The sequence below is a fragment of the Homo sapiens genome, chromosome 7 (assembly GCF_000001405.40).
Source record: "Homo sapiens chromosome 7, GRCh38.p14 Primary Assembly".
Lineage (NCBI taxonomy): Eukaryota > Metazoa > Chordata > Mammalia > Primates > Hominidae > Homo > Homo sapiens.
This window is the reverse complement of record NC_000007.14, coordinates 29,561,464-29,577,194: the sequence shown is the minus strand read 5'-3', so window position 1 is coordinate 29,577,194 and position 15,731 is coordinate 29,561,464. Positions and strand designations below refer to the sequence as shown.

The 15,731-nt window shown below is 45.0% G+C and overlaps 1 protein-coding gene and 1 long non-coding RNA gene across 9 annotated transcripts in view, besides 1 other annotated feature; one reads left to right on the top strand and one right to left on the bottom strand.

Moving 5' to 3' along the window:
* Positions 1-9,899: 9,899 nt before the first annotated feature.
* PRR15 (proline rich 15) lies at positions 9,900-13,360 on the bottom strand. Of its 5 annotated transcripts, none has more exons than XM_011515199.2 (2): positions 12,533-13,360; positions 9,900-11,010 (listed from the first exon to the last, which is right to left on the bottom strand). In XM_011515199.2, the coding sequence occupies exon 2, from the start codon at positions 10,863-10,865 to the stop codon at positions 10,476-10,478; it is 390 nt and encodes a 129-aa protein (XP_011513501.1). In that variant the 5' UTR covers positions 10,866-11,010; positions 12,533-13,360; the 3' UTR covers positions 9,900-10,475. The 5 variants fall into 5 exon arrangements, with proteins under 5 accessions (XP_011513501.1, NP_001316926.1, NP_787083.1 ...); NM_001329997.1 differs by lacking the exon at positions 12,533-13,360 and adding an exon at positions 11,442-11,662; NM_175887.3 differs by having other exon boundaries at positions 9,902-11,010; positions 12,818-13,360.
* Positions 10,874-11,737: an enhancer, noted in NCBI's record as "H3K27ac-H3K4me1 hESC enhancer chr7:29605074-29605937 (GRCh37/hg19 assembly coordinates)". NCBI's record gives its function as "activates a minimal SCP1, AML or CMV promoter by ChIP-STARR-seq in naive H9 embryonic stem cells {active_cell/tissue: H9 hESC(naive)}" and the evidence as "EXISTENCE:reporter gene assay evidence [ECO:0000049][PMID:30033119]".
* Positions 13,361-13,503: 143 nt separating the features above from the next.
* PRR15-DT (PRR15 divergent transcript) overlaps positions 13,504-15,731 on the top strand; it is a 53,507-nt gene continuing 51,279 nt past the window's right edge. Inside the window, exons 1-2 of one of the 4 annotated variants that reach the window (NR_183548.1) lie at positions 13,504-13,548; positions 15,273-15,336. This is a non-coding gene — a long non-coding RNA (PRR15 divergent transcript). Of the gene's footprint in view, positions 13,808-15,272; positions 15,337-15,731 lie in introns of all 4 variants that reach the window. The other 3 variants (NR_183547.1, NR_183549.1, NR_183550.1) reach the window with 3 other exon arrangements.

The following is a 15,731-nucleotide window of genomic DNA, read 5'->3' as shown; positions in this document are numbered from 1 at the left end:
ACCATCTCTTTGTGAATGCATAAAACTGAATGCTTTTAAGAGCACCCAAGTCACCATTTGAATGCTTTGCTGCTTAGAAATTTCATCTGCCAGATACCCTAAGTTATCTGTCTCAAGCTCAAAGTTCCACAGATCTCTAGGGCAGGGGCAAAATGTCACCATTCTCTTTGTGAAAGCCCAGCAAGAGTCACCTTTATTCCAGTTCCTAAGAAGTTCCTCATCTCCATCTGAGACCACCTTAGCTTGGACTTCATTTTTCATATCACTATCAGCATTTGGTCAAAGCCATTCAACAAATCTCTAGGAAGTTCCAAACTTTCCCACATCTTCCTGTCTTCTTCTGAGCCCTTCAAACTGTTCCAACCTCTGCCTGCCTGTTACCCAGTTCCAAAGTCACTTCCACATTTTCAGGTATCTTTATACCAGTACCCCACTCTACTGGTACCAATTTACTGTATTAGTCCATTTTCACACTGCTATAAAGAACTGCCCAGAACTGGGTAATTTATAAAGGAAAGAGGTTTAATTGACTCACAGTTCAGCATGGCTGGGGATGCCTCAGGAAACATAATCATGGCAAAAGGCAAAAAGGAAGCAAGGCACCTTCTTTACAAGATGGCAGGAAGGAGAATGAATGCAGGAGGAACTACCAAACACTTATAAAACCATCAGATCTCATGAGAACTCACTCATTATCACAAGAACAGCATGGGGGAAACTGTCCCCATGATCCAATTACCTCCACCTGGTCTCTCCCTTGACATGTGGGTATTATGGGGATTATGGGGATTTAATTCAAGATGAGATTTGGGTGGGGACAAAAAGCCTAACCATATCAGACAGCAAGCCAGCATTTTTATAGCTAGAAAATCCTAAAAATAAATATTTCAACGAGTATCTCACTCAGTGAGTTTGAGAACAGGAAGTCTGATGGAATAGAAGTCTGATGGAAGTCCGATGAATAGAAGAAAGGAAGGATGCAAATCAGATTGGATTTAGTGAACTTGTCATCCACACTTACCACTTCCCTGAGAGACTGAGGGGAAAAGCAGGCTGCTGACTAAGGGGTGATCTGTGGCTACAGCCTTGGACTTTTTCCCATTGAAAGAGCTTCCCATGGGTCCTAAATCTGTGCCTAGGTTCACAAGCCTTCCTCTGCAATAGACTGATAGCCAGAGGAAGAGAACATTGTCATTCCCTGATTATCTCCTTACAAGCAGAACTCTCATTGATAATCATTATAAAGAGAGGTAATGCTGTAGGAACAGATAGACTGGCCAATTAGTGCCTCCATCCCAACTGAGAACAAGTTAACTTGCACAGCACAGCACATTTCAGAATTCTCCCACTGCGGAGGCTAGACATGGCCTCTGGCTTTGGGATGGAAGAAGCTTGTCCCCAGGAAGTGAATCTGTATGCCTTGAGAACTCAAAGAGGTTGAGAAGATGAGAGGGTAAGGAATAGGGCTTGCAGAAGAGAAAAATCCTAGTTTGACATGCCTCTAGGATCTCCAGGGAGAATGTCCCACCCCATTTAGTGCTGCTTCAGACTCTGTGACTGCTTTTGAACTCTAAAAACTTGATGAGTTAAGAGGCAGAGCATCACGCTCTGATGGTCTCCTACCTGTTGGCTCAGATACGTGTTGGCCCAGAAGCAAAGAGGGTGAGTTGCTCAGGATGTGAAACATCTTTAATGCCTCCAGGTAAATAACACTATCTGAGATGTAATTAATTAACCAAAATATCTTGAAAGGCTCCTGAATGATCCAACACCAGTCTCTAAACTATTATTGTTCTTACTACACTATATTGCAGGGCAAACTTAAGATCCTATTTTCTTTCTGCACCTACAGTATAATTCATTGCGTAGGACCTAATAGGCACATTGAATAATTGAAAGAATTAATAAACTCAATACGTATTTGATGAATACATAAATAAATGAGTATTTCTTTATATGCCATTCATTTATATGAATGGCATAGCCAGGGCTTAAGCTTATGAAGTATGTGAAGCAGTAACAACATCTCTGTCTTCATTTTTGGCTCCAAGGCCCTCATACAAAGGCCTGTGTGTACTATGTACTTAATAAGTAATTGTTGAATTGCACTGAAATTATAAAGCCTGGAAATTAAATATTACAACACAAAAATGAAGTGTTCCCACAATTAAAGAAGGCAATGGGTAAAATTCTACCCTTAACTCCTAAGAAGCCCTAGCTCTGTGTCCCTGTATACTGAAAAGAACTGACTTCTTTCCTCGAAATAGTCTCTGGTTCCTGTAGTCTTGGCTATACTAGAGTCGGCAGTGGCCACAGCTTCCCTTTTCTGATTATATCCAACAAGGGAGTGTGTGGGATGCCATAGCACTTCCTTTCAGAACTCTCATGCCTTTTGGAACCCTCGTTAGGCTACATCTCCTGCTCTGTGGTTGCCTAGGCTCCCCTGCCTCAACCTCTCCCTGTAATTCCTGAGAACTGTCCTTATTATAAAAGAAACTTAGAATACATCCCAGGGTGAAGATGTGAGTAGCTTCCTTCAATCAAAACACACTCTTCAGCAAACTCGGCTTGAGAGAGACTTTCTGCAACAGATGGTAGGCCAAGGCTCTAGGCTTTAAAATGCCCCCCAGGGACCTGCCAAGGAGCCACCTGAGGCCTGTCTTCATTTCTCACCATCATTGCCTCTGTGAAGCCATCCCAACAAAAAGTTCCCACCCACTGTACAGAAGTGAAGAGCTTGAGTAAACCGTGTGGATTGTGAGAATGAAACTGCTTCCTTGTCTTTCTTCTGTTTCTAGGATAAGAAATGCAGGGAGAATGGTGATTCTCAGGTCTTTAGAGATTTTATTGTTGAGAAAGTGGTGTTCTTGTAAGTACCCTAAGCGATGCCTAAATATTGCTGAAACTCACCATTGCATTTCCCCATAAAGCCAATTGCCTCTTCATTTCTCTATTTCACCACCTCCTTGGAAATCTGGGAACACTTTAAATTCATTCACTAAACAATCTCAGGCTCAGGATTCATTCTTGGACATAAAGATGACAACATAGAGTCCCACTATCCTTTTTTGTCATCTCAGGGACTGAATGTATAGTCCCCTCTTTTCCTCCATCTCCTAGACCTTCTCCTGTGTCAACTGTCCTTGACTTTTTGGAACAAAGACATAATCACAGTTTTCTAAAAAGCAGACTTCTTGAGATTCCTAGGAAGTGGATCCTCCAAATTCTAGATAGTTTTTAAAGGAAAACATTGAAATAGCTCCTTCAGACCAACTTCAACCCATTCAAGAGTAAGAATTTAAACAGCTGTATTATTGAGGACTTTTAGACTGTGTCATTCGTCTTTGAGAGATATGCTTTTATGTGCACTTAGGTCATGCAAACACCATGAAGTGGTGTTATCACATGCATTTACTAACAAGGGAAACAGAATCAGAGAGGCTAGTTAACTCCACTCAAGTTCTGTTTATATATGGTTGCTCAAGCAGCTGAAGTGTCCTGAAAATCACAGGAAGTCTGTGAAGAAAGAGCATATCTCAAGAGGTTCATCAAGCTCCTGAGCTCTTGGAAAACCTAAACCCCCGGAGGGTTTCTAAGTGGTGGAAGGAACGTGTTGTAAGACCTGGAGGTAGAAGAGAGATGGTGATCAATGGACTGAAATGAGCCTACTTTCACTTGAATGGAGAGTGTTTGGAGAGATGGCAGGGAGAGAGAAAGACAGCGAGAGAGAGAGAGAGCTGGAGAGAAACAGGCAGAGGCTGGACCAAGTAGGGCCCTTCAAGAACTTTAAATGATCTTGAATTTTATTTTGAAGGGATTGTCTCATCAGAGTGTGTTAAATAGAAGGAGATGTCATAAAAACTGATGCAGCCTGGTCCTCCCCATACTGTATTAACCTAGTGGTATTTCCTATGATATTTTCATTCATGAAGCTCAAAGCATTTAATGATTAGTGCTTTAGGACCTACTGGTATACAGTAACCAGCAACTTTTGCTGGTGGGGCATCATGGCAACTTGTCAACCAATCAGTGGGTCATGGCCGAGTCACTTCCAATAAGGTTTGAGGGGTTGGAGAGAAAAGGGGTTATTCTTTGAGCACTCTGTCTCAGTTCTAGGGGTAGTGGCTGCTCATTGGCATGAGCAATATATTCTTTAGGGTTCCCTTTACTTCTTAGCAATCAATCTTTGCTATGTGTAATAGTTCTTTATATTAAATATACTCTGTTCAAATTACTATGTGGCTTCTCTGTCCCGATTGGACTCTGACTGATTGACAACCCCCAGACATTTCTCTACCTGCCAGACATAACCTGTTTCCCCAGAGGAGAAAAGATTGTGGCCCTGCTAAGAGCTACATGCTAGCTGCTTGTTCTATCTGAAGGGTCCACTTCCTTGTAGATTAACCAGGAGTTCATGAAAGTTCATAAGGAATGAACATTGCCCCCTGAATTTTCCTGAGCTCCATGACTAAAATGGCAGAGAGACATGAGATCATATTTATATACTATAGTTCCTGCTGGGGGATAACACAGGTTTATGGATGTGTCTCAACAGGGTGATCAGATCTGCTTGGGAGAAGGAGGCCCGTAGCAGTTAAATAGAAAGAGATTCTTGAGTCTTGAAGGCTATTGAGGATTTGCCAGGCAGGTGGTGGGGAAAGAATATGCCCAACAGAGGCAACAGGATTGACAGATATTTGCAGACATGGCAAAGCACAACCATGCATCAGGGGTTGTCTGTCATGTGGAATAGCTGGACATGGTGAAGGGGTTTGACCTTATCCTGCAGGATTTCAAACAGAGTATGGAGAAGGGTGAAGAAACAATTGTCTTCGGGCCTCTGTGCCTGGAGGGAATGAATTCTTGACCTAGGAAAACATCATTGGGAATGGAAAAATTGAGTTTAAACAGAGTAGACAATCAGGTGGGTTGACAGAATTTTGGACCCTTAAGAGCTAGTTATGAGGAACAAATGAAGTAATATACACAAAAGCACACTTTTTGATGCTAATCGACTATGATAAGATATTTCTTCCACAATTTGATTCTGAAAATGAATAATGAGGCTTCATGTTCCTAGATAGCAGGATTACCCCCAATCGTTAGGCCAAATGGCAGTACAGTGGTGGTGGCATCCATAACATAGTTTATACTTCTCAGACTTCCCTCCCATCGCCCCACTTAACAATCAGTACTGGACAGCTGGTGCCTTTTGTTTTCAAAGTGAACAATGAATATTTTATGAGTTTACTTTCACAACGAGTTGCTCAGAATAGGAGAATACTAAATCAGAGTTTTAGAACAGGAATATAAACTAATTCCCCAATTTTACAGAAGAGTAGAGTAACACCCCTATCAACTAAGATTTATGTAAGAGCAAGTCAGAGAGAAGACTATATTCAGGTGTCTTGAAAACTGCAGTTTTCTGCTGCTATCCTTGCAGGGTATCAATCAAGGGGCATGCTTAATGACTGGCTACTAGAAAGAAATGCCTAATTCAGGATACTTATAACTCAAGGAAAATTCCTTATTCCTTTTTTTTTTTTTTTTTTGAGAGAGAGTGTTGCTCTTGTCGCCCAGGCTGGGGTGCAATGGCACGATCTTGGCTCACTGCAACCTCCGCCTCCTGGGTTCAAGCGATTCTCCTGCCTCAGCCTCCTGAGTAGCTGGGATTACAGGTGTGCACTACCATGCCCAACTAATTTTTATATTATTAGTAGAGACGGGGTTTTACCATGTTAGCCAGGCTGGTCTCGAACTCCTGACCTCAGGTGATCCACCCGCCTTGGCCTCCCAAAGTGCTGGGATTACAGGCATCAGCCACTGTGCCCGGCCACAGGAAAATACCTTCTTAAATGTCACAGGGAGGTCCAGCATTGGTCCCATAATCCCTACTTAACCAGCAGGTGAATCAGTGTCTGGTTCTTCTTAGGGTTAGGGATCTTCAGTTTCTTTAAACTGAATCTTCCTGATTTTAGGGCCAAAAATTTTTATTTCCTGTGTAAACAGTCTTGTTCCACACCTCAGAAATAAAGACACTCCATTCATGGATCTCATTATTGTAGAAGATTATGCCAACAACTTTGACATAATTATGAGTCTATCATTTCATCATCTGTAGTACAATTTTGTTTGAAAGCACAGCTGATTTCCTTGCTTTGAATTCCCAGAAGGACTGCTTTTATTCCACTGTCCATCTTATTTATCATGGTTGACGGCTATTGCCATTTCTAAATAAATGGTCAACTGTCTTCTTCTAAGGCAAGGTCTATTTAGTTTCCTTACATCCTATCCGCTTAGTGGTCATATTCTCTCACCATGAACACTATTCATCCCATGTTCCAAATCTGCATGGTCTTCTAACAAAGTGATTGGCAACACACTGTGCCTGCAGGAGTCCGGGAAGTCTCATGGCAGCCCCTTTTCTGTATCCCTGAGCCTCATGGGAATGCATGTGCAGTGCCTTGGAGGCAGGGTAAGAATGGGGTCAGGGAGTACAGAGAACAGGTGAGAAGAAACATACTGCAATGGGACAGCCAGCCCATCAGTGACAAACTTTGCTGCGGGTTCCACACTTGTTTCTAGTCTACGATATTTGTTTCTTGTTTTGTTTTGTTTTTTATTTTTGAGACAGGGTCTTGCTCTGTCGCCCAGGCTGGAATGCAGTGGCACAATCTCGGCTCACTGCAGCCTCGACCTCTGGGGCTTAAGCAATTCTCCCACCTTAGTCTCCCAAAGTGCTAAGATTACAGGTGTGAGCCATCACACCTAGCCTTAGTCTATGGTATTTACATGTTGACATCCAAATGTATAAAATATCTCTGGTCCCACTTTTTACTTGTCATGGAGGTAAACATGAATCTATCTCAACAAACAATCTTCCACATTTATGTTATAATGAAACCCTCTAAAAATAAAATAGACTTGGAAAAATCCATTTTCCTTACTATATCATGCTAGCTTTTTGTGTGCTTGTTTCTAGTCGATTGACACTTCTCAGCTGGGGAAAAAGAATATTCTTTCTCTCTTTTTTCATAAAACGTCTCTTGGGGTCACTGAATATGTGTCCTTTCACTTATTTCTTTCAAGTTTACCTTTCATTTGAAATTCTGTCTGCTCATTTTTAGTATTTGCTTCTTTCAAGGCACCCAAATATTCTTCTGCGCATCTCAGGAAAAGCACTATTTTTGACAAAGCTTTTAGCCAATGCTCATTAGGTTTCTATTTCCCTTCTAAGGACTTGGCAGGACTAGAATTGCTGAGTTCACATAATGTTTCGAAGCAGAAAAAATATTTCCAGGTGTTATACTAAAGGAGAACATCCTAATTGCATATGTAAAGTCGGGTTTGTGCTTTTGAAATGCAAGTCAGAATGTGCTGAACAATAGAAGTACAGACACAAAGGGACGTTCAGGTGACCTGTAATATGAGTCACTGCCCAGCCACCGATTTTGCAAGGAGAGTCACTGGGGCAAAAACTACCCTTTGTATATAATTATCGTGGTTACAAAAGTGTGTAGCAAATACACTGCTAGAGTTTTGTTCCTTTTTTTCCCATATCTTTGGAAGTATAGTGTTAAAATTTCTGATATGGCTTCCAAATTTGTGAGTGAAATTTCATTTGTAAGATAATTTAAAGAAAAGTTTCTGACTGCAAATTTAATTCAGCATTTTTTTTTACTATAAATTATCTCAAGGTTAAAAAAAATTAAATCTGTATATACTATTGGAATGTAATTAAACATCTGTAAAGCACATAAATCCCAGCAAGACACGTCGTCAAATTCTCTCATCTTCCTTATGCTCTTTCTGTCCCACCAATTTTGCTTGGTTTCTGATTTCACTGAGTTGGGATTAAATCAGTGTATTCCTCCCACTGCATAATTTAGGACTGCTTTAAAACGATGTAATTACAAACCTCAATGGCAGATTGTGAATTGCATTCACTGTCATAACTGCATTAGTATGGTTTTAAATTCTTTCAGAACAGTGGGGTAAAGATGTCATGTTAATATGGTAATAAGTTCCATTGCTCTACTATATGTCTGCTATTGATTATCTGCAGCAATTGTAGATTTGGATGGGATCCAAAATTAGACACAGAACCTTGAAACTTGCCAATGTTTTGTTCATCTACAGTAATTTTAAAGAAAAAAGTTCTTTAAAACAATAAAACTGGATGAAAGGGTTAGTATAGGATTTTAAACTTATGTAATTGCAGACTTAATTTTATAAATAGGTACAGTCCTGATCTATCGGTCTTCCTGAAGGAGGGAGAGAACATTTTGGGTAGTTACCTACTCTAATTTTGATTACTTTCTACGGAGTGAAATTGAAATACTTTTTGAAGGTTTTCCAAAGCCTTATTTGACAACATTTGCTATATTCACTCCCGTTGCTCTGCCAACCCCCAATCCTGTCCCTTATCATGAATTCTTTTTTCATGCCAAGTCTCAATTCCCTCTTCTTTTTCTGAATCTAGAGATGGTAGGCCCATTTAAACTGAATGTAGTCTGCCTCATCCAGGAAGCCCACCTGGATGAGATTTTGGTCACACACTTTCCAGTTTTACGTATACAATGAAAATGTCTTTTCATGCTTAAAAAAGTCCTCTCACATACTTTCTTTTAATTTAAGGTGTTCATAACCTCTAGATATACACTTTCCTTTAGTGTAAGGCCTTTGGTATGTGGAAACTCATGTATCAAAATTAGCTGTATTATTCTGCTGGCACCAAAGCTTGATTCATTAATTTAAATTCATTTCAGCCATCTTCATCAAATTTCTTTGTTAAATTTCTTTTAACAATCGAACTGTTTTGCTACTTTATAAATTACTAATTTGGGAGAAACAAAAAAATAGCTTGTCTACATATACAAATCGAGAAGCTATAATTAAGTTCCTGCTTGTCATTATCTACAAAGATATACACTTTGATCAATATAATTTTCCTGCCATGCATTTCTGGGTGTTTATAAATGAACTGAATTGTGGTGGGAAAAGATCCCAGTGCCTCTTAACGACTACAATAACTCTCTTGTAATTTTCTCAAAGCAAATGGTATTCGTTTACTCTTTTTCTTGAAGTTCATAATAAAAGCGAACAGCTTTTTGTTAAGAATCTTCAGGTTGTTAGATCTAAAGGGTCTGAAACTAGATAAATGCATACTTTAAGGAAATAAGCTTTTAAAGCAAAGGGGTGGGGAAAATACCCCCACCTCTTTAGCTGCGCAGAGTTCAGTCTTTTTTTTTTTTGAGATGGAGTCTCCTTCAGATGCCCAGGCTGGAGTGCAGTGGCACGATCTCTGCTCACTGCAACTTCTGTCTCCCAGGTTCAAGCAATTCTCCTGTCTCAGCCTCCCGAGTAGCTGGGACTACAGGTGCCTGCCACCACGCCCGGCTAATTTTTGTATTTTTAGTAGCGACAGGGTTTCACCTTTTTGGTCAGGCTGGTCTTGAACTCCTGACCTCAGGTGATCCACCTTCCTAGGCCTCCCAAAGTGCTGGCATTACAGACATCAGCCACCGTACCTGGCCTTGTTTTTTGATTTTAGACAATCGTTAGTAAGTTTAACAATGGATACTGAAAAGGATGTATTACTAGCATTGTAACTTACTATAGTCTATGAAAATGCACTGAAGTAAAAGGTGAATTTAGGAATAATGAATTGGTACCTCTCTCCCTTCCTCGAATTTGGCTGATAAATAGGGATATCTGGCTAACAAGTTCCAGTCCAGGTGTTGCTGGTTTCCAGAAATATTCTCTTCCCTGCAGCTTTCCACTAGTCACTGTTATGTTGTGTGGCAAATGATTAACTCTCACCTCGGACTTTGCCTGCCTGCTTTTAAGTATGATGGGATTCAGTCTTGGAATGGAAAAAATACAAAAGTCACCTTAAGCCTTACAGTGCAAGGGTTTTAATAGTCCACACTAAAATAGGCTGTACAGTTTTGTAGTTTAACATTAAAAGCAATCCTGCCTTATTTTAAAATGCTTCTACTTAAGAATGCTTCTTCCTCCCCCACTCCTTCACTTAAGGTATAAGTCTACCCCTAAAGTGCATTTCTCAGGCATTAAAAACAGCACTGTGATTTGCTTTCCACAGAGTCCTAAATAACAGCCACCTTCTTCATTTGAGAGGCTACAGAGTTCAAGCTGAGCTGTGACAGGAGCCAGGGGGCCAGGGCCCCAGAATAGCTTTTTGAAAAAAAAATAATTATGCCACCCTCCTCCGCGGCAGGTATCTTCTCTTACCACAAATAAATATTTAATGCATCCTTGGAGTCATGAAATATTGAGAACCCAATTGACACTTCAATTTCCAGAAAAATAAAATCATGAAGGCATTGTGTAAATATTCTGAATTTGGTGGAATGAGACAACGCGTAAGGGGGCGGGCCTGAAGTCTCGGGTTTGGAACTGGGGGTTTGGGGTAGTGCTGGGTAGGCAGTCCTGGAGCGCGCAGGCTATTGGGGCTACTGCTTGTCCTCGTGGGGGTCACCAGGAAAGCCTGCCTCCTCCGGGGACCTGCCCGCCTCCGGGAGCAGCGTGGCGCGCACTTTCCTCTTCTCCTTAAAGCGGCCGGAGCGCGAGATCTTCAAATTGCGGCGGCTGCTGCCGGATTTGTCCCCGTATAACTTGTCTGGTTTGGGGGGCTCGCCGGCGCCCCCGAGGAGATTGGGGTGCTGGTTCTCCCGGGAGCTGCTGGTCCAGTCCGGGCTGGGCGGCGCAGGTGGCGTGGGCTCCCCGGGAGCGGGCTGGGCGGGAGGCGGCACCCCCACTGCGGCTTCCTTGCTTTTCTTTCTGCTGTTGGTGAGCGATTTCCACCAGGGGCCGGAGCTGCCAGCATCGCCGCTGTCGGCCATGGCCGGAGGGCCTAGGGGCTCCCGGCACCCAGATGGAAGGGCCAAAGCGGCCCCTTTCTCCACGTGGTCTCCGGCCGTTCACTCCACCCCTTCCCCGGCTTGCCACACGTGGGCTGCGGGGTGGATGCTGAGGCAGCGGCCTGTGCTGGGGAAGAAAACAAAACTTGGTTACTGGGTTGGTTGAAGTCACGTGCCCCCCCCAGTCCCCTTTCCTCCCTTATGCTGTCTGGCACCGGATCGGCCAGGGTCGGAGCGACCCAATCCCGTAGCTACGTAGCCCACATTAGCATTAGACGCCACTGCGCCCCATAGGGTGCTGGCGGAAGTGTCTTCCAGGGCACCATCACCTGGTCTCTAGGCTGAGCCTTGAACTCTTTGGCTTCAACCTTTGCCTTTCCTTCAGGGGAAGTGCAGTGCAGTGGTCAGCGTGCCCGGGGGACCCAAGGGACGTTCCCACCCCTCTGAATCAACCCGTCTCTAGAGGGAAAATGACCGCCCTGTCCACACTGCTTGACTGTAGATGGACGCCAAAAGGTGACCCATCCGACCCAGGGCGGCCTCCCTTTGGATAAGCACCTGGGAGGAGGGCGCTGGGAACCAAGTGCATCCTCTCTACAGGTGAACGGTATTAATTAGTCCATGGTCAAACAGTCACGAAATTTCCCTCCAAGATTTGCCCCCATCGACTTTCGTCCCAGGAGCCTTTTCGATGAGATACTTAGGAGAATTTATATCCCAGTAGGAGAGAAGGACAAGCTTATGATATTTGTTTTGGTTCTTTTAAATTCTACTTTTGACCACTTCTGCCTTGTGACTTTCAAAGAAGCATGTCTAGACTTAACTTCCCTTGAAAACCGCCATCCTAATTCTTCCTTTTACTCCCCAGAGCCCAATCTTGCGTCTGTTTGAAGTCACCCCCGGCTGACGGTTGAGATGAAGCCAAGTATCAAATGGCCTCTTCCCTTAGTTTTGTATTAAAATATGCACCGAGTCTGTACGACGCAACTCAACTCTGGAGAATTTCAGTTACAAAGTAAAGGCTTCTCTTCTTTTCCTTGTGCAATTCCCTCCTCCCAAGGAGAAAGAACGCAACAAGGAACTCCGAAACAATGTGCTTCTTCCCCAAGCTTCTAAGACCCCCCCTCTGCAGAGCGAAAGGCCGCTTCTGAGCACTTAGGTGCGGGTACAGCAAGCGAGACTCCCAGCCCACTTTCTGTGCGGGGTCTCTTGGGCGCTGCCACCAGCAACGGCAGGATTCGCCTGCGCCGCGGCTCACTTCCAGGTTTCCGCTCGGCTCCTTCCCAGCCCACGCGCCGGGCGCTCCTGGGATTGGCGATCGCGCTGGAGAGGGAAACTTCGGCGGTGTTTGTTGTAGGAGGTTCTCCTCCCGGAACCGCCAGGGAGAGGAAGTCTGATCGCCTACGGGAGGCGGCGGGGCGGCCTCGGCTGCGCCCCGAAACCGCAACACCGGCTCCTCCCCAGGATGCCCTGAGGACACACTCGGGCAGCGACTTGAAAACAATACAAGAAAAAACGGCCAAAAGTTCTTTCGGTACAAAAGGCACCCACGCCCTCAGGCACAATTAGCAACTGCGTCTGCAAACATCCCATTCCCTCCTACTTTGCAGATCGGAAAAGCAACCCGTACCCCCAAGTCATTTACTAACAGTGGTGGTAAGGTGTCCTGATGCTGCTTCCTCTCCTCTAACCTACATTTTCTTCTTCACAATCATCAACTTTGTGAGCACGGAAGGGCTTTGTACGAATTGCGCAAGGAAAAGATGGCAAATTACTCAAAAGTACAGAAAACGGAGTCCTGGAGCGTCCGTGGTTTTCAGCCTCTCTTAGGGCTCCGGGAGGCGGGTACCTGGGAGGTACCAGGCAGCACCCCAGGGTGACCCCCGGGGCCAGGCTCTGTCTCGGCGGACGCCGAACCACCCCCAGTCGCTCACCTGCTCGGGCTTAACAGGACCCGGAGGCCTCGCGCGGTGAACGCGGCCGAGAGCACGAAGGGGGCGCGCTCGGGTCAACCTGGAAGCCGGGGCTCGAGTCCCTGGGCGCGGACTTGGAGAGATCAGGCTTCTGGAAAGTGTACAGGTCGGAATTCCCGCAGCCCAGCTAAATCAAGTGCTGCTGCTGGTCTCCTCTGGCACCTCCAATTGCTGCGCGCTGCGGCGGAAGCCCGGGGCTCGCAGCGCAGTCTGTTCTGGTCGGAGGGGGCGGCGGCGAGGGGCCGCCAGACTCGCTGCCCGGGTGGAAGGTCCAGGGCGGCTTTCCGGGCTAGTAGTGTTTCATTCGCCGGCGCGTCCCTCTTCCCTGCTAGCACCGCCCGGGAGCCGGCTGAGAGATGGGACCCTGGCTGTTCACTCCGGCGCATCGAACTTGCCTACGCGTCCGTAGGAACGCAAAAAAGACATCTGCCCACCTGCTGGTTATTTGCCAAGTGATTCGGGAAACCAGAACCCTGGGGCAGCTGGGGGAGAAAAGAAAATAACCCAGGAGGCGGTCACCGCTGCCACAGGTGCAGGTAGGAACTTCGCGTTCCCACCCTCCAGGGGAGGAGATTGGATCAGGCGCCAGCCTTGAGGTGTCTGATTGGAGAAAAGCTGTGCAGTGCCGCTCCCCCGACCGACTCCTTGAGAAGAAACGGCGGAGACCTGAGACCCGGAGGCTGAGGCTGTAGGTGGGCTCCGCTGGGTAAAAGTTGCCGCAGCAGCTGTCCCTTGGCCCCATCGCGATTTATTTTTCCCCCTTGCTTTCCGGGTCCCGGGATCCCAAGTTTGTAACTAACGGGAGCGAATCCACACCCGAGCAAAATGTTTGCGAGTTTCAGGCGCCCTTAGTTGAAAGGCTGTAATTAACAAGTCCGCTGTTTGCCAGCCAGGCGCCGTTGCAGGCGCTTTCTGTGGATTGTCATTTATTTCTCACAGCAACCCTAGGAGGTAGGTATTGTTATTATTATTATTCTCACTCGACAGGCGAGGAAACCCTAGCACGGGAAAATGGTTGCTCAGGTTTGCCTGTCTGGTACGTGGCAGAGCAGGGTTGGAACCCAGGGGGCCTGACTCTAGCTTCTACGGTCTTAACCACCACAACCTGCCAGTCTGAGACTCTTAACACGACTCAGTGAGGATGTGAATTTCCTTCTTTCAGGCCTGGAAGTCCATGGACAGCCACCCAACGAGGGCAGTGTAAATCCAGCCCTGAGCCACTGCAGGAAGTGAACCGGGGATTGCACTCCTGGTCACATAAGAGTACTTTTTTTTTTTTTTTTTTTTTGAGACGGAGTCTCGCTCAGTCGCCGAGGCTGGACTGCAGTGGCGCGATCTCGGCTCACGGCAAGCTCCGCCTCCCGGGTTCACGCCATTCTCCTGCCTCAGCCTCCCGAGTAGCTGGGACTACAGGCGCCCGCCACTGCGCCCGGCTAATTTTTTGTATTTTCAGTAGAGACGGGGTTCCCCGTGTTAGCCAGGATAGTCTCGATCTCCTGACCTCGTGATACGCCCGTCTCGGCCTCCCTCCCAAAGTGCTGGGATTACAGGCGTGAGCCACAGCGCCCGGCCAAGAGTACTTTTTATTCATTTGACATAAAGATATTGGCACAGGGCATTTTCACTAATGAAGGCAGAGGTGCAGCTTGCTTCATCTTCCAGGATGCTCTTGTTTCAAAAAACGATTTTGATGTTCCTTGAGCTCATATGCAAGCATAACTCCCCTGAAGGACTGGGTGTGGAGCAACTGAGCATCTCTGTTGTGAAAACTGTTTGCAGTATAAAAGCAGTGAAAGACAGCCGGGCAAGATGGCTCAAGCCTGTAACCCTAGCGCTTTGGAGGCCGAGGCGGGTGGATCACATGAGACCAGGAGTTTGAGACCAGCCTGGCCAACATGACAAAACCTTGTCTCTACTTAAAAATAATAATAAAAAACAAGGTGGGTGTAGTGGTGCACGCCTGTATTCCCAGCTATTGGGGAGGCTGAGGCACAAGAATCATTTGAACCTGGGAGGTGGAGGTGGCAGTGAGCTGAGATCCGGCCACTGCACTCCAGCCTGGGTGACAGAGTGAGACTCTGTCTGTAAAAAAAAAAAAAAAAAAAAAAAGTAGTGAAAGACATACTGCCTAACTCAAATAATTTGCAATATAGAATTAGTAGAAAAAATTTTTAGAGAGTATTTCAATTTGTGAAAGATAAAAATATGAATATATGATTTACTTTTTAGTTTGGGATTCTTTGAATTTCTATGATATGCACAGCACAGGGTATTTGGAAGTCATGCATTTTTATATATTTCTCGGGATTACTTTTAGAGCATAAACTTTCAATCACAGAAGCAGGATTGAACAAAGGCAGGCCACCAACTTTGAGGGGAGAATGGGATAATTCATCATAGTGCCATTACTTTACAGATGAAATTGAATCATGGAAGAATGCCTTTATCTGAGGAGTCATCACCACTAGGGAGCTATGGAGGTGGGTTTTTACGTTGTTGGTTGAGCATATGGGTGAAAATAAAAAATTCAGGAAAAGAAAATAAGTTCTGCCAACTGGCTCCTCAAGTGTGATTTTAACAAAATGGTCAACATTTTACTAATAAGCAAACCTCTACTAACTGCTGAAATTAACAAAAAAAAAAGATTATTTTGCATGCCCTTTCTCATTTATATTCAGCAACTTTGAACTTAATAACAACATCTTACAAATAACCCTTGTGTACGGGGAGGACATTGAAGGAGAGACATGAAAACTGAGGAGAGATTAGCTGAGATGCAGAGTGGGTGAGCATTTCAGATGGAGGAAGTAGCGTGTGAACAACTTGGAGGTGTGAAGAAATTGAGGTTTCTTGAGAGGCAAAGAGCAGGCGCATG